Consider the following 23589-nt stretch of genomic DNA (forward strand, 5'->3'; position numbering starts at 1 on the left):
CAACAAGCATTGAGCAAGGTAGACTGCATTCTGGAAAACTGAAAAAAACTCAAAAAATATAAATGCATTAACATCCTACAAAGTATAGTCTTTGACCAAAATGATATTAACCTAAAAATCGATATCAGAAAGGTATCTAGAAAATCCCCCAAACATCTGAAAATTTATGACAAATATCTAAATAACATGAATCATAAGGAAGTTATAAGGGACATTAGGACACAGATAAAAGAGTTCCTAGAGAAAAATGTAGACTATTAGGAACTGATGTAAGTAGAAAAGTCTCAAAAACTGATCTAATCTTCCACATAAAGGAGTAAGATAAAGAGGAGAAAATTAAACTCAAAGTCACAAAAGAAAAAATAGTATTAGAGCAGAAATCAATAAAACAACAAAATAATAAAGAAAAATCAATGAAAATGAAAAGCTGCCTCTTTGAGTTAACAGATAAAATTCATAAATCTCTAGCCAGACTGACTGAGAAAAAAAGAGTAAAGAAACATATTGCTAATAACAGGAATGAAACAGGGAATTATCGCTACAGATCTAAAACTACAAAAAGGCTAATAAAGCAATATCATAAACAATGTTATTTCTATCTATTTGACAATGTAGATAAAATGAACCAATTCATTAAAAAGAAAACACTAACAAAATTCAGCCACTATGAAGTAGATAATTTGAATAATCCTGAAACTATCAAAGAAATTGAACTTACAATTTAATAGCTTCTGAAAAAAAAATTCAGACCCAGATGGTTTCACCAGACAATGTAAACCAAACATTTAAAGAAGTTCTAGCTCCAAATGTGTAGTCTCTTCCAGAAAATAGAAGGAAATACTCCTCATCTCTTTTACGAAGCCCGTAGTACCCTAACACCAAAAGTAGACAAAGACAGTATATAAAAGAAAACTACAGCAAATTTCTTTCATGAATTTAGACAGAAAAACCCTCAACAAAATATTAGCAAATCAAATATATCAATATATAAAATAATTATATGCCATCACTAAATTGGGTTTGACGAGGAAAATAAGGATAGTCCAGTATTTGAAAATAAATCAGTGTAATCCACCACGTCATCCAGCTTACTAAGACAAGTCAGGAATAAGTTCTAGTGGTCTAAACCACTGTAAGATGACTAGTTAACAATAATACATAGTTTAAAATAGCTAGAAGAAGGACATTAAATGCTCCCAACACACAAAAAATCATAAACATGTGAGATGATAAATATGCTAATTATCTTGATCTGATCACTATACATTATATGTACTGAATCATCACTATGTACACCATAAATATGTACAATTATTATGTCAATTGAAAACACACATAACATTGTTTTTAAGAAGGAAAACCAGATGATCATGGCAATTGGTGCAATAGAAGTAGTCTGGCAAGGTTCAATGCCTGTTTATGAAAAAAATACTCTCAGCAAATTAGCAACAGAGCAGAACTTCTTCATTTTCACAAAAAGCATCTAAAAGAAACCTACAACTAACATCATACTTAACGTTGTAAAATGTGATGTCTTTCCCCTAAGTTTGGGAATAGAGAAAAGATGTATGCTCTCACCACTCTTATTCAACACCGTTCTGGGGACCCTGGCCAGTGCAATACACAAGGGACAGGGAAAAGGGAAAGAAGGAGGGGTGTGGACAGGCATAAAGACTGAAAAGCAAGAAACACAATTATATTCAAAAATGACATGGTCATGCATGCAAAACATTAACAGATGTCTCACAAAAAAATTACTAAAACAAGTGAGTTTAACACATAAGGTCAACATACAAAACTCAATTGCATATCTATAAAATTGCAATAAAGAATTATAAATTCAAATTTTTTAAAGAATATTATTCCCCAAAGCACCCAAAAATCTGGAAGACCAGTAGAAATCTAAAAACTACGTGCAGCATCTGTAGGCTGAAACTAAAACAGTGCTGATAAAAATCAAAGAAAACCTAAATAAATTGTCAGACATACCATGTTTATGAACTACAGAACTCATTATTATTAAGATGGCAGTTCTCATTATCATTGAGGTGGATTTTCTGCAGGTTCAATACACTTCCAATCAAAATCCCAGCAAGATATTTTTGTTTTTATTTGCTTTAGAAATTCACAAGCTAGTTCCAAAATTTCATTTCAAATCAAAAGATTTAGAATAGACAAAACATTTCTGAATAAGAATAAAGTTAAAAGTTTCACATATCTGATTAGCATTTCAAGATGTCTTCTAAAGAAAATTAATCAGGACAATGTTGTATTGGTGAAAAGACAGAGACACACATGGGGGAACAAAAGAGAGCTCAGAGTATATCTACCATATACGGTCAGACAACCTTGACAAAAATGTAAAGTCGATTTAAAAGAGAAATAACAAACTTTACAATAAATTATGCCAGAGCAACTGGATACTCAAATGCAATAAAAGTGAATATTGACCTATACACCCCACCATACACAAAAATTAACCAAGACTGGATTATAGACCTCAATGCAATAAAATCTGTAACAGTGTTTATAAAATTAGAGACAGGATCTCGCTCTGTCACCCATGCAGGAGCACAGTGGCTCAATCGTAGCTCACTGCAATCTCAACCTCCTGAGCTAAAGCGATCCTCCCACCTCAGCCTCCCAAGAAACTAGGACCATGGGCATACACCACTATGCCTGGCTAATTTCTTGATTTTTTGTAGAGACGGAGTCTCACTATGTTGCCCAAAATGACACAACTATTAAACTTATGGAAAAAGCACAAAAAAGAAATGCTTTATGACATTTGGTTTGGCAAAGACTTCTAAGATATGGCAATATCAGTTACATAATAGAAAAGAAGATAAACTGGATGTCTTCTAAATAAAAAGTCTTCTCTGCAAAAGACATGTTAAAATAAACAACATGCTATAGACTGAGACAAAATATTTTCAAATCATGTATATGGTTTAAAGACTTGTCTACAAAATAAACAAACAATTCTCAAAACTGAATAGTAAAGCCACCCAAATTATTTGGCCATTTTAAAATATCAAAAGGATTTGAACAGATATTTTACCCAAAAACATCTACAGATGGCAAATAATCACACTAAATGCCACTCAACATCATTAGTAATTAGGGGAATGCAAATTAAAATCACAATGAAGTACCACTACACATGTATTAGAATGGCTACAATAAAATTACAATATGAAAATATCAAGTGTTGGCAAGAATGTGGAACAGCTGGAACCTTACACATTGCTGGCAGAAATGCCAAATGGTTCAACCATTTTGCAAAATAGTTTGGCAGTTTCTTATCATGTTAAACACACACATCTCATGTGACCCCAGCAATGTCATCCCTGGGTATTTACCTACATACCTACCAAGAAATGAAAGCATGTGTTTACACCAAACCCTGCACACAAATGCTTATAGTGGTTTCATTCATAACAACCAATACTAACCACTCTGGTGTCTTTCAGATAGCTAATGGGTAAACAAACTCTGGTACAACCATACCATGGCATACTACTCAGTAATAAAAAGAAATGAACTACCAGCATACCAACAACTTGTAAGAATATTAAATGCATTAGGCAATGTGAAGTAAGCCTAGCCCAAAAGGCTACATAGTGTATGACAGTTTATTTAACATTCTGGAAAAAACAAAACTATAGGGACAGAATCAAATGTGTGGTTCCCAGGGGATGAGGAAAAAGAGAGGGGCCCATTATCAAGGGGCAAGAGGAAACTTTTGAGGGTTACAGAAATGTTCTGTATCTTGATTTTGGCAACGGTTACCAGACCATATGTATTTCTCAAAATTCACAGAACTGTTCAATAGTAGAGGGAATTTTACTCTATGCAAATTATACTTCAATTAGCCTGACTTTCTCCACTCACCATATCTTCTTATGTGAGTCTAACGTGTAGCCAGAGTGCAGAATCACTGCCTCAACCCTTGTACACACAACAGATGGCTTCCCTTGAAGGACCTGCTCCAGGGTTCTCAACCTTGATTGCATATCAGAATCACTTTGGGAGCTTTGAAAACTACCAATGCTTGGAACTGATCCTGGCATATTCTGATGTCATTGGTCTACACCGTGGCTCAGGTGCTGACTGGACTGTTGCAAAACTCTAGAAATGATTCTAATGTGTACCCAAGGCTGAGAACCACTCGTGTAAAAACAATGGTCTTCCCACACTACTGCTCCTGCAACTCCTAATAGAACACTTTTTAAACTCTGTACCCACTTGCAAATTTCAAAAGTGGTATCTAATATTTTTCATCCAGTTTCAATAGTTGCTAAGGATGAAGTTTCTAGTGTATTGTAAATCTTGACATTTTAAAATGAAACTGTTACATCACTCTTTTAAATGTATCCATTGGAATATAAATAACAGAATGGCTTGACACCCACGACCATCCACTTATAAAACCCATGAAAAACTCTTCACTAATAAGAAATGTTACTTTGTTCCATTTTCTCCTTGAACTCATGTTTCCATTCCAGTTATTTCACAGAATTTTAACCTAATGTAATAACCTTGAAAGTAACTGTCCATTACCTTATTATGTCTTCTTACCACAAAAATGTATGGTTATATATTGAACTTAAACTTTTTAAAGTTTCTCCTCACTGTAAGATTCTCATTATGCAAAAATTTCTTTGGATTGGTGTCATTACAATTATGACTGTTACACAATCAAAACAATGAAAGGTAAATACATATATAACACATTTTAATAAATACCTTTTAAGATAAAAAGTATTTTTTATTGCAAATGTATCTCTTAATGGGCTATGGGATGGTAGTGTTAAGCTCCTTGATTAAAGGAACTGTCTAATTGTACTTTTGCAACTGTGGAGGCTTTTACTTCTGAGGGGAATGAATCATAGTAAGACCGGAGATGGAAGAGAAGTGTCTTGCTATTGTAAAATCAAAGAACTGTGTGTGAGAGAGAGAAGACAGAGGATGAACAGGTGATTTTGAATTAACCTGGACAGATCATAAAATATACAGAATATCAGAAAATATACAGACGTTAAGGATGTAAAACAAATTCCCTTTAAAACATCCCCATTCCCAAACTCCTAGGAAGGTCTTTGCATCGCCCCTCCATTCATATAATGTAGTTTAAACAGCACTGATCTACATAAATAACCTAACAAATCATTAAACAATCCTTCACACTAAAGGTAAATAACTTGGTATTGCCATGCATCGCCAGGGCCAGGGAGAACACAAATGAGGGAAGCTCTTAGGAGTCAAGAAACACAGGGCACTCTTTGATATGGTCTGGCTGTGTCCCCACCCACATCTCATCTTGAACTGTAGTTCCCATAACCTCCACGTGTCGTGGAAGGGACCCGGTGGGAGGTACCTGAATCATGAGGGTGGTTACCCCCATGCTGCTGTTCTCCTGATAGTGAGTCCTCACAAGATCTGATGGTTTTATAGAGGCTTTTCCCCCTTTTGCTGGGCACTTCTCCTTGCTGCTGCCATACGAAGAACATGTTTACTTCTCCTTCCACCATGATTGTAAGTTTCCTGAGGCCTCCCCAGCCATGCTGAACTGTGAGTCAATTAAACCTCTTTCCTTTATAAATTACCCAGTCTCGGGTACGTCCTCATAGCAGTGTGAGAACAGACTAATACACTCTTGTATTTCATATCCCTACTTTTGAAAGAGATCTGAGTATAGAGAACTATTTCTCCACTCTAAGAAACACATGAGTTAAAACCCAGTGATCAGTAACCAGGGGGAAAACATAAAAACAGCACTGGCAGGAGGAGAGGAGCCTGTGCAGACCGCCCGCCCCTCCCTGTCTACCGTGGAGGCAGCTGCTCAGCTGGAGTGAATTACTCACACGTGGCAATCCCAGGCTAGTGCTGCTCCTACCTCCAGAGAAGCAGGAAAATCCACTTCTATGAAAGTCCTCTGGTTTCAAAATATTGACAAGACATTCACAGTGCAGCCACATTAAACATATTTGTAAGCCACAGTATAACACTTGACATTGTCTGCCAATCACAAACCACACCTCTGACATCAAAGTACATAAAGAAACTGGATGACAAAATAAAATTTTCCTCTCTATTTGTTGAACACATATTGCCCCATAGCCTCCACTGCTGCGAAGTTCGGTTCCTACCCTTTTGATTCACGTGGCACCACTTTAATTTTAAATTATAAAATAATAATAATAATAGTTTCCTTTTCCTATCAAAAATCTCTTTAACACATGCAAACAATTCTAGGAAAATTACTTTAAGATAGTAAAAAAATGTGACATTGGGTCCAAATGCAAGCTGCAAGTTTTTGTTCTTTCCAAAGTTTAAATATCAGGCTATCTATAATATCAGCATATCTAGGAAATCATTGTCCTCATTGTCTTAGGGTTGCATTTATCCAAACTACAGGCAAAAAACAACTCCCTAATGTATTCTCCCTAATTAAGTAAATCAAGCAAAAACTCCTTATTGGAATCAGATATGCAGAACTTAACGAGATAAGGCAGAACTCATTTGTAAGCTGGGATTTTTTTTTAACACAGCTGTACTCAAAATCACTGTTTTCCCTCCTATTGTTGACACTGTTCCCCTGAAAATGTAAATAATATTATTTGAGCTGTTCTCTCTCTTTCAATAGAATTCTCAGTAGTTTTACTGATCTCACATTTCAAAATATTGAATGCTTGTAAAACAAGCAATTGTGTGTTTTGATGCTTGCTTTTAACAGCACATAATGCAAATATTTAATCACAACAGTAATTTCCATTGTGCATAGTTTTTACATCTAATTAAGGACTCTGAAAAATTACAATCATTGAAAACAAAAGCTTACATTTCATTTACACAAACACCCAAAGGATAGAGTAACTTCTCCAGGAGGGTAAAATTCTACTGAAGTCACTATTGAGGCAACAACATAAAGCCCTCTTTTTGGTTAAATATTAGAGAAAATTTGAATATTTGAATCTTAGATTAAAAATTATAACAGCCCTGTCTGGGCGCGATGGCTCACACCTGTAATACCAGCACTTTGAGAGACCGAGGCAGGAGGATCACCTGAGGTCAGGAGTTCAAGACCAGCCTGGACAACATGGTGAAACCCCATCTCTACTAAAAATACAATAAAAAAAATTAGCTGGGCATGGTAGCATGCATCTGTAGTCCCAGCTACTCAGGAGGCTGAGGCAGGAGAATCACTTGAACCCAGGAGACAGAGGTTGCAGTAAGCCAAGATCACGCCATTGCACTGCAGCTTGGAGAGCAGAGCAAGACTCCGTTTAAAAACAAAATTCTAACAGCCCTAAGGGTGGACTGTTGCTGTCCTGTTAACCACCCGGTACCCACTACCTTCTCTTTGGTAACAGTGTCCCAACTTGTTTTCCATAATATAACTCTTCCCCTACTTTCATACCACGTGATTCAGGTAGGTCCTCCCTCCAGGCTCTAAAGTGAGCTGGTTCTATTTATTTATTGCATAAGTTTAAGCCAGTCATCATAACTAGCCCATCCTTCTGGCCACAGTGACTTGAGTCGGGGAAGTCCCAAGAAGCATTATGGTCTTATAAGAGGCAGGCCCAGAGCTTTGATGGAACTAAGAGAAACGTTCTTTCTTTTTACTAAAGTTAGGATAAGATGTAATTCTGAGCTAGGAAGCCATTTTGTCTAGATGAGGGAGAGTGTCTGAATAGAACACAGGAAGGACAGCTAAGAGATTCTAGGTCCGTAGAGCCTCACTTGAGCACCTGGATCAAGCCTTGCCTGATGCCATTTTTGTCCCCAGAATCTCAGTTAAGTGAACAAATACGTCTCCTTTTGACTGGTAGTGTTGACCAGATACCTATATGTTCTTCTACGTTCCCCAGTCCTCTCTGCAGTTGGATGGCAGTCACGTTTCCAAATGCCAGCCAATGAGATGTGGGCAGAAGTAATAGAGCCCACATCTGGATGTTAAATGCATCCTACATGGTCCTTGAACCCTCCTTTCCCCAGTTGTGCTGACCTGGACTCTGAGTGAACAACAAATGAACCTTTCCCATATTAAGCCACTGAGACACCGGCATTACCTGTTCCTGCAGCACAGCCAACCTGGCCTAACTAATGTACCCCTTAGGCAATTTGAGAATTTCCTCTTCACCTGCTACTAAAATATTATTAGAAAAGTTTTCCTTAAATCCATGAAATGAGCTGGAACTCTTCCATTTAATCCACAGTTTCTTGGACATTATCTTATAGTTTGCTTCAGATTCTAAAGAAAGATCCTTGTAACGGAAGATCTGCTTTGCTTTTTCTCTTTATAGCATCTGTTCAATGCTGACCAGGACAGTAGTCCAGAGGCCTTTGGGATGACAAAAAAAGGAACAGTTCTTCCTCTTGAGGGCCTCCTGTTCAAAGAAACACAAAGAATACTTTGAAATGCTAGAAAAGTAAGAACCTATCTAGAAAAATCATAACCAAATCAGCCATTTATTGAGTATGCATCTGTCAATATCATGAACGGGAATGCGAGAAACACAAAATTAGGATCCTTGCATCCTTTCCTAGAAGCCTCATGAAAAGAGAAACATGACATGTACGAGATATTCTAACGTGGCTTTTTGCAAGGTCAATAGTATCAAAAATCAACTTTAATAAGATGAGTATTTCTGTGAGTATGATGAGTATGAAGATTGGCACACAGAACACCAGTTCTAGGTCCCTTCTGGAGTAACTCCTTGAATCAAAGAAGCCCCAGTCCTATAAATTGGATGTGCAGGGATCTCTCAGAGCTTGGGTTTTTGGCCTGGCCTAGGTCCTGTTGAGCAGGTGCATCCATCTGGAACTTGGCGCAGGGCAGTGAGTGACATGAGGCCATGGTTTCACATGGGATCCGCCCTGCTTACATATTCTAGAGTGCTGTCTTTGGTTATTTACGGGTAGTCCTGCCGGGCCCTACACCATAGGTGCTGAAAGGAAGGCAATGGTACTATTGGGATTGGGGCCAGAATAGGAACACACTGTGGCTGGGAGTTCCCACTGGCTGCTGGTGTTCCTGGCACCCAACCCTGGCTCCCTGGTACTCAAGGAGTCTAGCTGCTACCTCCTATGCTCTAATAAAACTGTCTCTACCACAGTGGGATCTGTTGTCAGCAGTGAAGACCATGACCAACACAGAAGAAGCACAATTGTGGAAAAGAGATTTCTAAAGAGTTACACGAAAGCCAAAAATGTCAGTCCTTCCTCACATCACGCAATCAGCGAATTCTTCTGCAGCTGTATTATACAGCTTGCCAGAGATATTTATCACTGTCCATGCCTCATTTTCCCCCACTAGACTCTAATCTCATGAGGGCAGAGTTAATCTCATATTCATCTCTGTATCCTCAGAGTGTATCATATTACGTTTATAATTTGTCCTCAAAATGATTGAATAAATAGATTCATACGCTTGGTTCCTTATACCTCTGATGTTTCCTGTTGAAGATAAAATACTCGAACCAAATAGATCCTAGGACGGAACGTGAAAGTTTCATGCAGGCATTAAGGCAGCAGGGGCCTCCCGAATTCCATGGAGGTCACCGAATCAGGGAACTCTCATTCCAGATGAAAATATAGAGAAACCTGTTGCCCTGACTGCTTGATAACAGCGACGCCCAAACAGCAGGTCCTAGAGGAGCCTCCTCTTCCCCGGTGACTCGGTGGCACCCTTGCCATTCCATCTTTAAATGCATCTCCTTCTTCCTCATAACCTTGAAGCCAAAGTCTCTTTACCTCCACGTCATCTGTCCACTGACGTCCTCTCACTGGGGCCCACTTCAGAAAGCACACCTGGAAGAAACTGCTGGATGCAATTCTGGGTCCTCCTCACTGATCAGACTCAATGACCTCATCCACTCTAATCCCTCACCCCTCAAGAGCCAACTCATCTCGGGGCAAAGGACCACACTTTGACCAAAACAGAGTTCTGGGGGCCTTGAGAGCAACATCATCAAAGAGCAAGACCTCTATTCATGAAGACTTTTGAATAGTTTTCTAGGCATACAGAAGCACTGAGGAAATGCCGTTGGGTGCGGCTGAAATTGACACTTGCCATTGCTAAGAGCATCAGGTTCAGCGGACTGGACACTTTCAAATCCGGCTAATATCTGTGCAAAATGGTGCAGCCCTTTCAGGAAAGAACTTGGCAGCGAAAGCTCTCCTCATACTTTTTTGGCCCAGAGATTAAGTAACTGTGAGGCTATCTAAGGAAGTAACTCAAAACTTAAATTATGCACAAAGATAATTATTTCTTATAATAGTAGAAAAGTATAAATTATGTAATTGTCCAGCAAACATAGAAACTTTGAAGCCATGATACAGACATTAAATTTATACTCATAATACATTTTTAAACATGAGGAAATACTTATGTAAACACATGAACTCGAAAAAGTTGAAAACAAATTATAGGTACCACATAGAGAGTGAACAAAACTGGCTTAAAAATTCATAGAAAAACAACTAGAAAGAAATATATCAAAAATGTGAAGCAGTCATCTTTGGGTACTGAAATTGTTTCTTTTTACTTCTCATTTCAAAAATAATTTGAAGTAGCTCACAAAAAATAAATGCAATGGGATAAATTAAGAAGGCAAGAAAACAGACAGAACAAGGATAGAAAAATCAAATAAAGCCAAGGAAAAAACTTATTCACAGGAGGCCTGTCTTAAATTCCCATCCTTACAAACAGCAAATTTAGCTCTGAGAGTCCTAAAAGTTAAAGCAAAGCTAAACAGGTGGCCACTTATAAACTTCACAGTGCTCTCTGGATAAAGTATAAACTATTTCCCAGGATTAATGCAGCTGTTTTTCTCCTGATACTAAGGCCCAAGAAAATTTTCTCCAACGTGTCCTAGAAGAGGAAAAATCTATGTTTAATAGACAATATTCTTAAAACATCTCTACCAATCTTTCTTGACTATCACTCAATACTGTCTAATAACCTCATGCCAAAGTATAATTCAATTTAAAGGATTTTATGAGAGTCAAATTGCCTAGCTTTCTACTTTTCTGGCTTGATCTGAGTGAACAGATGGGCCGAAGGATATTTCTTCTTCTTTCTCTCCTCCCCTCTTCCCTTCTCCTCCCTCTCCTCCTCCTCGTTTTTTCTTACTACCTTTATGGACATTCTATACCTTTCATAAATGCACTTGCATAACTGTAAAATTTGGATTTTTTTCCCAAGTATTATTACTTATTTCCTAAGTAATAATAGGAATTACTTAACTAAAACACAATCTCTATACACGCAGGCCACATCATCTCCCCATCATTTATGGCTACAAGCAGCTGTGTTGGAGATGCTACAATTTGTTACTAGGAGCCCAGAACCCTGGGCCATCCATGCCTTTGTAGTCTTTGCTTGGACACATTCAAAATGGACACACTCACGAAGTGGCCTGATTTATGCATAATGGCGCCTGTTTTAAGGACTCTGTTTGTTTGTTTGTTTGTTTGTGACAGAGTCTCACTCTGTCATCCAGGCTGGAGTGCTGTGGCATGATCTCAGCTCACTACAACCTCCACCTCCCAGGTTCAAGTGATTCTCCTGCCTCAGCCTTCTGAGTAGCTGGCACTACAGGCACATGGCACCACGCCCAGCTAATTTTTGTGCTTTTAGTAGAGACAGGGTTTCATCATGTTGGCCAGGCTGGTCTTGAACTCTTGACCTCGTGATCCGCCTGCCTCGGCCTCCCAAAGTGCTGGGATTACAGGCAGGAGCCACCACGCCTGGCTTAAGGACTCCTTTTTGTTGACTTGGGCTAGTTATTTCAGATTCCTGTACCTCAATTTTTGCCTCTGTAAAATGGAGATGCTACTACACAAAGGATGGTGGTGAGGATTTCATGAGTGAATGAAAGTACAACATTTAGAACCCTGCCTTGCCTAAATGAGCATTCGATCAATGATAATAAAAATCAGGATTATGATTTCTTTTGAGTAAGAAGCTCTCCCACCCTCCCCACCCTACCCACCCTGCTCAGCTTCCATCCATTCACAGGACCTTCCTCTGGTGTTCCAGCTGGATCTGCTTATGCTATCTGAAGCCACAGAGACAGGCACATCCTTCTTTCAAAAGACAGACATCTCTGTAGTTAAAAGAAGTCATCGCTTTTCCAAGTCAAACTCATGGAGTTTCTTCAATATTACTTGCTATGATAAGGGGTCTAGGTTTCTCATTTTCTGAATGAGTTAAAATTTTCCATTTTTCCCCTTCAGCAGAAGGAGACCAATGTAGCACAATTCTCTGGATTTGATATCATCCATCCATTGCCAATGCAATATGGTGAAAATACTTTATTTGTCCTATAAATTATAATTGTGTGAACTGAGCCAGCAAGACAGCAGCCCTATTTTCTGTTCAGCCTTCACTCACACATCTGGAAACCACACCTGGTCCTGCCTTGGGTCCAGCCCTCCTGCCATGGGGCACTTGACCCTTGCTCCACACCTTCCCATCCCTCAGTGGATGGATCGAAGGGGAGCATGATTTTCACGCCCTACAGAGCTTATCCCGAGGCTTGTCCACAGAAATGGGAAAGAAGCCTTCTCTGATCCCCACCAGCATCAGATGAGGCTGGGCGTGAAGTCATTTGTCCATCACACTGTCCAGGCCTGTATTATTCTGTTCTCATGCTGCCAAAAGAGACACATCCAAGACTGGGTAATTTATAAAGGAAAGAGGTTTAATGGACTGATAGTTCCACATGGCTGGGAAGCCTCACAATCATGGCAAAAGGCAAAGGAGAAGCAAAGGCACAGCCTGCATGGTGGCAGGCAAGAGAGCGTGTGGAGGACAACTCCCATTTATAAAACCATTAGATCCTGTGAGACTTATTCACTCCATGAGAGTGTATGGGGGACACCGCCCCCCATGATTCAATTATCTCCACCTGGTCCCACCCTTGACATGTGGGGATTATTACAATTCAAGGTGAGATTTGGGAGGGGACTCAGCCAAGGGGATATCAAGGCCTATCCACCAGTAGAGCAGAAACAAAGAGGGTCTGAAAGGTAGAGAGAGATGAAGCAGGTTCTGGTGGGATCCTTAAAGACCCCGGGTCAGCCTCATCTAAAATCAGCACAACTCTGGACTCCTAAGTCTCTTAAGATAATTCGAAGCTTCATGTAACAGAGTCCTGATGGTGTGGAGTCAGGATAAAGCATGAGGATATTCCACATCCATAATGATAAAACTATGATTATTCATGAGTGCTCCTGGCCTTCCAGGCCTCCGCTTCCATAAGACACATTGACAAGACACCCCACAGAGCTCGCACCTTCCTTGTTGGTTTCTTGTAGTTTCTCTTTTTTTTTTCCTCTGGCAGTTTCATGACTGTCAACTCTTATTAAGCTTATTTTCATACGAATCTCCAAGTCTTTTTACACGTGTTCCTCTCAAACTCCTCTCTCGTACCTCCCAAGTCAGCGTGTGTGATCTACGTTCAGCATGTTGCAATATCCCCTTTGTCTCACATGTTAGATTGTCCTCATCTCAGGTGAGCTTTTGGTCACAACTCTGCCACGCAAAGGCCTTACCACTCCACCCCTTCTGTGTAGCTGCTCTTCTGAGGTTTGCGCGAAGGAGCTCATCTGTTTGGACAGCCACCTCTGATACAAATGTTCACCTGGGCAGGGCTGGGGACAGAGTCCTGGGGTCTCCTTGGAACGTGCTCAAGGTTCATACCACACCATCTGCTACCATCTGAGCTGCTGGGAATCCACCAAAGCATAGCACCCCCCAGGTACACGTCACCGTTGTGTGGACAACAGTGCTGGGGTGAGCGCTAATCCCAGTGCCCAGCATCAGTAAGCACCGAATACAGACCTCTTCATTTGTTTGTAACGTTACTGAAATCTCTATCTTTACTCCACATTCTATCCAGTAGCAAAACAAAGCTCTGTAGATACTGCCACACTCCCACCCCACCCAATGATTTCAGGGATCACTTCTAAGTTTTGAGAGGTTCGGAGTGACCACAACAACCAGGAGGGCTTTGTGATTGGTACAAATGATATCTTGTCTCCTGTGGTCAGTCCACACAGACTATGGTTTGTGCCTCCCTGGTCTTGACCACAAGGCCTCCTCGGGCCAATTGGGCTTCCTCAGCCATGCCTGCACAGCCCTGGCTGCCAGGAAAAGATTCTGCTATTTGAGCCATGCTCGGGCATGCTGCCTGGTCACCTCATACGAACATTCCTTCTGCTTCATCTCCAGGCTATTTAGGACAGAGTGTCTTCATTTGTGGCTCTCCCAATATATTCACGAAGTCAATCTAGAATATTTTTAATTTGTCATTGGAGTGACGTGGCACAGAGCAGCTGAAAAGCCCACCAGCATCTAAGCTGCCCTCCAAATTCTCCTGCCCTTTCCCCTAGTAAAAAAAAAAAATTACTTGGTGAAGGAAGAAGAGAAAGGCTGAGAAACCATATGCCTGGGAAGATAGGTTCTTCCAAATCTTTTCTCTATTGCTGGATACCAGCTTTTGAAATCAAAAGTCAGGAATTTGATTTCTCTGTCTCTCTTTTTTTTTTTTTTTTTTTTGTTTGGAGACAGGGTCTCACTCTGTCACTCAGGTTAGAGTGTATTACATGATCACAGCTCACTGCAACCTCCACCATCCAGGTTCCAGCAATCCTCCCACCTTAGCCTCCAGAGTAGCTGGGACAACAGGCACACACCACTGCACCTGGCTCATTTTTTTTGTTTTGTTTTGTTTTGTTTTTGTAGAGATGGAGTCTTGCTTTGTTGCCCAGGCTGGTCTTGAACTCCTGGACTCCTCAAGTGATCCTCCCACCTGGGCCCCCCAAAGAGCTGGGATTACAGACATGAGCCATCATGCTTGGCCTTGACTTTCCTGTCTCGTGCCTTCTGCTGTTCCAAGAGGCAGTGGCTGCCAGGTGTTCATCTGCACGAGAAAGGAGAGGCCAGGGCAGCAGGGAATGAGAGCAGGCAGGGCAATGTCGCCATCTGTTTTGATATCAAAATACTTTATTGCCACAATATCCTGCCAAACACTCTTTGAGTCTCGGCAGGCTATTTTATCACTGAAGCGTCTTCCCATCTACCAGTATAGCTTTCCTGACCAAAATGCAAACAAACAAATAACAACAATGAAATCTGACAGACATCTTCTTAGTGAATCTGCAGAGGGAGATTCCCATAAACATAAACATTTAATGTCACTCTCGTGAAAAGAATAACTTAATGTCACTAAAAGTTAAACACTTTTTTGGAACCTCTTGTCTTTCCAAATGTACATCTGAATCTCCCTTTATTTATATACTTTACTTACTTCCTAAGAGTGGAACCTCTTGTCTTTCCAAATGTACATCTGAATTTCCCTTTATTTATATACTTTACTTACTTTATATACTTTACTTACTTCTTAAGGGAGGAGAAGTGGCTATTTGAATTCTCTTTCAAAGGCATGTTTTTTACCTTTATAACTGTTGACTGATCTGTTCTAAAACTATGTACTTCAGTCGCTTTTCAGATGCATGCCACAGGTTTGTTTACTTTCAAGGTCAAGGGCCTTCCTTCTCCATCAATTCTTAATTTATGGAGGGGGTGCACCTTGGGTGACTCCTGAAACCAATGTTTAAGGACAGAGGTGACGGAAGCACCTAGCCTCTGACTGTGGTATGTACCCCTTAATTCTTCCTACAGCAGATTTTTCTTTTAAATAAATGACAAAGTCATCTAAAAATATTCCGAGTCTTTGGTCCCATGTCACAACAAATCCATGCTGGTTTCCTCTTCGTTTTGTGAGAGGCCGCACCATATCATCTCCACAATTCATTCAAGTGTGCTGTCTGGCGTCAAACATCAAAATCAACAACGCATATGTTCACAGCATCAAGCATCCTTCTTCTGCAAACAGGAAGAGTCTGTGTCTTCATTCCGCATGCTTCTTCCTCATTCTTTATAATTTCCCAGAGACCACTGATGTGTCACCTACACTTTTGGTCCTGGAAGACCAGAGGCCATGTCTTAGTCTTCCCTGCCCAGGACCCTACACATGTTAGGGACATAGATGAATAAACAGGTCCTGAAGACAGTCCACTGGGCATGTCTGCAAGTTCTTTAAGAAGCTTGACCTAGGGAGGTGGGGGAGGAGGAAAATAAAAATAAAAAAAACAAAAAAGAAGCTGACCTAGGAGATAACCAAACCATTCCACACCATCAGAGAATCTCTTCTACCTCCCTGGTGGTCTTGGAAGTAAATCCCCATTTTAATCCCTTTCAGGTGTTATTTCTGATTGCTGCTGGAAAAAATAATGCTGAGAAAACTAAATAACATGATGTTCATTTATTCATTTGCTCAACAAATATCAAGGGTCATCTGTATACCAGGCTCTGAGCTAAAAACTAAAATGGTCTCAAGACCTCTCTGCACTCAGCCCCTGGCAAGCCTGGCACCATGTAACAATTCTGCCTGACAAACCGCCTGGTTTTTAGTTATTCCATATAATTATCAGAAGTCAGCAGAATGGCCAGGGGTATGGGTTCTGGCATCAGAATTCAGACTCTGCCTGTCTTTTATGTTGCTATGACTTGGAGAAGTTACTTAACATCTCTGAACTTCAACTTCTGGTCCAGTACATATCTACCCCATTGAGTTTATCTGCAAATTCACAAAAATTATCCTCATAAGTCACTCCGCACAGTGCCTGCCATACAACAATTACTCAAAACATTAGCTGGTATTATTGACCAAAGTATTTCCTGCGGCGCTCTGAATTACTGGAAAAGGCAGCATCAAACCACTGCACTGTCAGGTAAATGATTTCCAGCAATATTTCACACTCTTGGAAGCACAGTTAAAAATTGTATTGAGCCCCTGCAATGTCCAAAGCACAAAGCTAAAAATACTGGAGAGAAATCAGAGATAGAAAAAATACCCATTTTTTTGTCCCCTAGAAGAACTTAAAATTTAGGAGAGGAGGCAGAAAATAGTTGTAGAATGTCAACCTTGTGAAAGGCAGAAGTGCACTCCCCCAAAAGATATTCACATCCAAATCCCTGAAATATGGGAATGTTGGTTACTTTATTTGGAAATGTTAAAAGGCGACGTGACTAAGTCAAGATGGGAGATTATGTGGATCACTTGGGATCCTCCCAGTCCATCCGGTAACGCCAGCCCATCCTTCAGACAAGGCGAGTCTTCCCAGTTACTCTAAGTCAACTGCCAAATTATCTGCATCCAGAGACACTCGCCCCATCCTCCAGAGCACACCCACAGTGCTAACTTTATGTTTTTCTGTGTAATTCACATGTTCCCCTATCTCTCCTACAAATGGCAAGTTCTCTGGGAATAGTAACCATATCAACCTGTGCTTTTCCTCACTACGGTACTCCCTGTGCCCAGCACGGTATGGGGTGCATTGTTGGTGCTCAGAAGGCAGTTACTGTTATGAAATAGGAAAGGAGAGGGAACAAAGGAAGAGGGGAATGATGAATACGAAACTGCCCAGGTCTGAGCTTACAACTTAAAGCAACGGAGTAATGGTATGAGGCACTTTGACATCTAGAGGAATGACTGGCACTAAACATCCCTACCTAAGGACGCTTTAGTACCTGTCCTGTGTCCTCACAACACTTAGAAATAGTTCCTGCTGAGCTCTGTGTTCACTGAAGGCATGTGGCCTTTGACATTTGTTGAATGAATATGCAGATGGATGGAATGATGAATGGATGGATGAAATGATAGATGGATAGATGGAAGGATGGGTGGATAGAAGGATGGAATGATGAATGAATGGATGGATGGGCAGACAGACAGATGGAAGGATGGATGGATGGATGGATGCACGGATGGATGGATGGATGGATGGATGCATGGATGGATGGATGGATGCATGCATGGATGGATGGATGGATGGATGGATGGATGGATGGATGATGGATGGAGGGATGGATGGATGGATGGACTGGTAGATGGATGGGTGGATAATGGATGGATGCATGGATGGATGGATGGATGGATGGATGGATGGGTGGATGGGTAGATGGACTGGTGGATGGACTGGTGGATGGATGGGTAGATGATGGATGGATGGACGGATGAATGAACGGGTGGATGGATGGGTGGATGGGATGATGGGTGAATACATGGGTGGAAAGACGGATAACACCTGGATTAACAGAAAAATTGATAGATAAATTCTAAATATTGTGTAGCATAGCTTCTATAATAAAATATTTTTGAAATTTTTGTTGTTTACTCATTTTTTCTTGGCTCTTAGAATATAACTAAGTTAAACAGATCCTCAAACTTGGAATTCTACCTTTCTATGCACATAAATATTTTTAATAAAATCACATTTTGATTTAACTCTTTAATTCATACAAAACAAAACTTAGTGGTCTCTTCATTCTTTGTCTTTTCAATTTGACAGAATTTGAATGTAAGCAAAAAGCCACACTCTCTCTCTCCCCCACTAACTGGCTCCCTTCTGATATTCTTTCCTCTCCCAAAAAGTTCCTGACCCCTAAAGAAGTTATCACTGTACTTTGAAGCTCTTTTTGGTCCACAGCTTCCTTCAATAAGGGTGGTGCTGTCCTACCCAGAAGCTTCACTCTGACCCAATTAACACCCCAGTGTCATCAAATTGTGTCAAATGGAATTTCATGATGCAGATATTATTTATAAGCTCAGGGACAGTTCAGTTCATGTCGCAATGTATTCATATCACCTCTCCTCTAAGATTCTCTGATCCCTTGAAAGTTCTCACCCAGCTGGAAATCGAATATGAACTATATTTAACAGGATTTTAATTGGAAGTAAACACACAGACACACCACACACAGACAATGCAAAGTGCCTAAACTGTCTGGGGCTGATTGAAAAAGAATATTACCAAGTATTAAACATCCGTTTCAGCATATTATTAGAGGCCAGAAGCTCTACATATGGAAGCAGTTTCAGGAAGGCGCTCCAAGAAGCCCACTGCCCAGGCCATTGGCTGCACTCAGCTGGAAGCAGGCAGAGCACGTGCCCAGCGCCACCCTAGGCACAGGGAGCACGACACTGCCGCAGCCCCGCTCGCAATGTTGCAGGTCTCTCAGCGTCTGCTTCTTTCCTACCAGCATGTGCAAGGGAACATAACTGGGAAGGATGCACGTGAGGACTGTAACAAGCAACCTAAATGTGGCAACCCTCTTGACTTTGTATTTAAAAATCACCTTGCCCTCTGCCCAACTCCAATCTCCTCACCCATTTTTCCTCTCAGCCCACCCTCCATACACCTGCCCCCTCCCATAAAGTTCACAGTAATGCATTAAAGCTCATCTGCAGGCTAGCACCATTGCAAACTACATCAAGCTGCCAGCAAAGCTAGACCTTAAACATTTAAGGCCATTCCCCAGAAAAATTAGGGGCCATAGGACAAGGCTGCTGGGGAAACTCCGTGTGTCATACCATACTTCCTAGGTCCCAGGGGCATAGAAATACAAGCAACAAAACTTTATGTTTATTTGTTTTTAAAAAATATCTACAAGAGGGTGGGTTTGTTCTATAACTAATCATTTTCTGCTTATGAAATATAAACGTGTAAGGCTCAAGCATATTAACCTGGTATTAAAATCTGCCCTTTGTTTCATTCAAAAATTCCTATTTGGAAAGACAATACAGTAGAAATGATAATATGTGGAAACAGATATTTAATACTTGATAATATTCTTTTTCAATCAGCCCCAGACAAATGAGGCACTTTGGGGTATGTGTGTATGTGTGTGTGTCTGTGTGTTTACTTTCAATTAAAATCCTTTTCAATATAGTCCATACTTGATTGCAAGATGGGTGAGAACTTTCAAGTGATCAGAGAATCTTAGAGGGAGGTGATATGAACACATTGGGAAAAGAATGGCCCTGTCCCTGAATGTATAAATCACATCTGCATCATGAAATTCCATTTTATGCAATTTGCTAATAGGGGTGTTGATTTTTTTCTTGTTCTTTGACATATTGTGACTAATCCTGAATCATCTACCATGTGCTCAGACTCTGCTAATTGCTGTACAAAGTCTCCACACAGAACTGATTCACTTTTGAACTGTCTGGCTGACTTGCTTAAGTTCAATACACAAAATATGTCATATGCTAGGCTTATCGTAAACATTTTACGTGCTAATTTTTGGCCACCTAGTAAAGAGGCTTCCACATCACACAGGACCTCATTTAAGGACATGTTCAGTGTTCCCAGTTGAAAAAGTTCACAAGTATTAGGCTAAATACAATTCTCTTCAACACTGCTCAGTCTAATAAAGAAATCAGTAACAGACCTATGTACCTAAGTGAAAAAACACAATAGTGAGGTCCTATTTCCAAAGCTATTCTGTACCTTTCTTAATACAACCTTGTTATTGCAGCATAAACACAAAGAAGTCTGGACCTATTATAAAACCAAGTGAGAACCAACCCCCCCCGCCCCAAAAAAAAAATGCTGGGCTGTTGTTGCTGTGGATTTTGGTTTTTTTAACCTCACGTCTGCCTGAGTCAGGTTCACTGAATTCATCAACCTTTTCTTTGGTTTCCTGTGCACATTATAAATCCAGAAGGCTCTGATCCCAGGGATTGTTCTAACTCATAATTAGGAAACGTGAGCCCATTTCAACCACACTTCAAAGACAGGGAAGGAGGGGGAACGTAAATTCCTCTTTCTAAATCGAACCATCACAGAACTCGGCATTTCAACTGTCTTCATCTATTATCAGATCCAAAGCAACATAACCTCAGTGATTCTGGAAGAACTCAGAGAACAGACAATTCATGTAATTAAAAGACTTTGTGCGTGATAATTGGCTTTGAAGTTTCTGAGAGAGATCTCATCTCAAAAATCTTTGCAGAAAAATATGGGTACAGGGTTCTTGCAGCACGTATTAGAGACTGCTGAGACGCTTCACTCTCCTCCCAGTGTATCTATCTGCAGGAAAGGGGCACGGGTGGGGGAACCACACACAAGCAGCCCAGGTCAATCATGAGAAAGAATCTCCCGCACAAATCACACCATTTCTCTTCAAGGAAGAATGACTGTCCAGAGCTTCCAAACTTGCTCTTCCCATGACAGACAGGGATGCTGGCAGAAGAGAAGAGGAAACATTGAGGAATTCCTGCCTTGACACATGGCTTCAAGTCAGGGCTCCGCTGGGAAAATTCGGGTCACAACTTGTAGCTGAAACTCCACGTGCACCCTGCGGGGCCGCTGCTGCTCCCAGCACCCTACGGAAGGGTGAGCGCCAGACCCTGTGCCCAAACCTCACAGCGGCAGACCTGGAGAAACCCATCCCCCTTCTTCAGAGCCGCCCCCCAGGCTATATTTTTGGCAGCCTATAATACACAAAATAGTATTCCCATACAACAGGAGTGCTCCAAAATTATTTCCAAATAGGTCAGTGCCACCAGGGAAAGTCAATCCCAAATTCCAGAAATCTCCCTGGTCATCTCAATCCCCTCCTCCCCCGACAGCCGGCTCGGCCCTCCAGAGGCCACCTTTCCTCTCAAGGGTCCCCACGCCCTCTCCCTTTACAGAAAAGGCTTTCAGGAAACAGCCTTCCTTTCCTTTCGGCTCCTTAGTAGTCTCACCTAAGGCCTCCCACCCAAGTGCTCCAGGACAAGCACCTTCGGCCAAGGGGCGTCCGAGGAGCTTGGCTGCCGCACGAGCGCACGTTCACACGCGCGCACACACACATGCACACAAGCGCGCACACACACTTGCACACGAGCCCTCTCTCCCGGCCGCCCCCATCCTCCACACACTCCCACACACTCACTCCAGGCGAAGTTAGTCCCCGGGCCCTGGCGGCCGCGGCGTCCTCACCTTTGGAAAACAGGGCGGCCAGGCTGATGAGTACCGGCGACCAGTGGTGCCACAGCGTCCCCATCTCAGACGGGCACATCCTGGAGACCCGGAGCGCAGATCCTCCGCTCCCCGGCGCCGTCCAGGCGAACAAGAGACCGTCTCAGTCCCCTAGAGGCCCGCAGCGGGGCCGGTGGCGAGGGAGCGCCCGGCTAGGGGCCCGAGCAGCCCGGGCGCCCTGCTCCCTCTTCCCGCCAGTCCATGGCCAGGCCGGGAGGCGACGACCGCGCGGGCTCCTGAGTTGCTCTCCGGAGTCCAACACGCGCGCAGGCAAACCCCACCTCCCTCCTTCGACCCCAACAGAATTTTTTTTAAATTTTAATCCACAGGGGGTATTTCCTTTCCTGTTTACCCGAGCGAAGAGTGGCCCCCGGTGGCCCAAGGAGGGGCGCCTCCAGGCGCAGGGCTCCGGCGGCTCCAGCTGCTCCCGGGCTGGCTAGCGGGCGCTGGCGCAGGCGGCGCCGGGGTGGCGGGGCTGCGGAGCCCGGGACGCGGGCAGAGGCGGCTCGGAGCCCCCCGGGCGGGTGGCCGGGCTCGCTGGGCGGCCCGGGGCTCCCTGGCCCGCAGCCCCCATCCCAGGCCGGCCGCTGCGCCTCGGGGCTCGGGCGCGCGCGCGCTCCGGCACCCAAAGTTTGGCGGGTGCGGCTGCTCCCCGGCCGCCGCCTCGGCCCGCCCGGCCCCGGGCCCGGCTGGGGCTCGCGGGGCTCTACGCGCGCCGAGCGCACTGCAGGCTCCGGAGACGCGGGGCTCCCCCCTGCGCCCGGGGGAGGCGGGCCAGATGTGCGCGGAGGAGGGCCCGCCGGCTCGGGGACGCGGCCGAGCAACGCAGCTGCCTCCTGCCAGCAGGCGCGGGGGCTCCGCTCCGCAAGGACCGCATCCGGAACGGAACGGAGGCGATCGCCACGGTGCCCGGAGCCGGCTGGGGCTTTCGCCTTAAAAATTTGTCTGCTTTTAAAAAGCCCCACCCTTTCGGAGTGACAGCTGTGAGCCCCAATCCGCAAAGTAAATCCCACCTCCCCCTGGCCGCCCCACGCCCAGCCTCCCGGCCACCCTCCCTGCGAGCGCGGACGCGCGGTGGCGGCGGGCGAGGGCTCCCAGCGCGGGCGCACCCCGGGGACGGAGCCACCCACTCTCCCAACAGGTGTCCAGCTGGCCACCGGCCTCTCGTCGTCATCAAAACCTCAGGCCCAGGGGAGGTCCTCCAGCCCGGGGGCACCTGAGGCTCTTCGCCAGGGAGAGCGCAAGGATGGCTGGAGAAGGGCCCTCGCCCCGCCCTGCGCATCTCCCAGGGATCGCAGTGAGGAAGTCTCTGACACGCCACACTGAGGTCATGCTGGCCCCAAGCCCCTTCCCAGAGCGATCCCCCAAGTTAGTGTCCCTAGAAACATGTCGTGTGCTCCCCAGGGCTCACTGGGAAAGGAAATGGATCCATTAGGAGACAACATTGCTTTGAGAAGATAAAAGACATGATTCTCAACACCGCCCGGAATCTCCAACTAAGACATTCCCACACCAAGATCCCTAAGCACCGTCCTGTAATTTGTAGCCCAAGAACTGCTTTGCTCCACGAGAGCCTTTAAATTAACCCCATCAAAGCTCAGAGGGAAGAAAAGCATTCAGAATTTTTAAGGAATATTGTAAACCAACAAGCCCTGAATCTAATGAGGTGAATTCACCTCAGTAGATAAAAATGGGTCGTTA

At 42.9% G+C, this 23589-nt stretch overlaps 1 protein-coding gene across 1 annotated transcript in view, besides 1 other annotated feature; it reads right to left on the bottom strand.

The window, feature by feature from the left end:
• TMEM132D (transmembrane protein 132D) overlaps positions 1-22614 on the bottom strand; it is an 832300-nt gene extending 809686 nt beyond the window's left edge. The window contains exon 1 of the mRNA NM_133448.3: positions 21850-22614. Coding sequence (NP_597705.2) covers positions 21850-21928 — 79 coding nt within the window. The 5' untranslated portion in view covers positions 21929-22614. The remainder of the gene's footprint in view (positions 1-21849) is intronic.
• Positions 16925-17426: an enhancer, noted in NCBI's record as "H3K27ac-H3K4me1 hESC enhancer chr12:130382881-130383382 (GRCh37/hg19 assembly coordinates)". NCBI's record gives its function as "activates a minimal SCP1, AML or CMV promoter by ChIP-STARR-seq in naive H9 embryonic stem cells {active_cell/tissue: H9 hESC(naive)}" and the evidence as "EXISTENCE:reporter gene assay evidence [ECO:0000049][PMID:30033119]".

This window comes from Homo sapiens, chromosome 12 (genome assembly GCF_000001405.40).
Source record: "Homo sapiens chromosome 12, GRCh38.p14 Primary Assembly".
Classification (NCBI taxonomy): domain Eukaryota; kingdom Metazoa; phylum Chordata; class Mammalia; order Primates; family Hominidae; genus Homo; species Homo sapiens.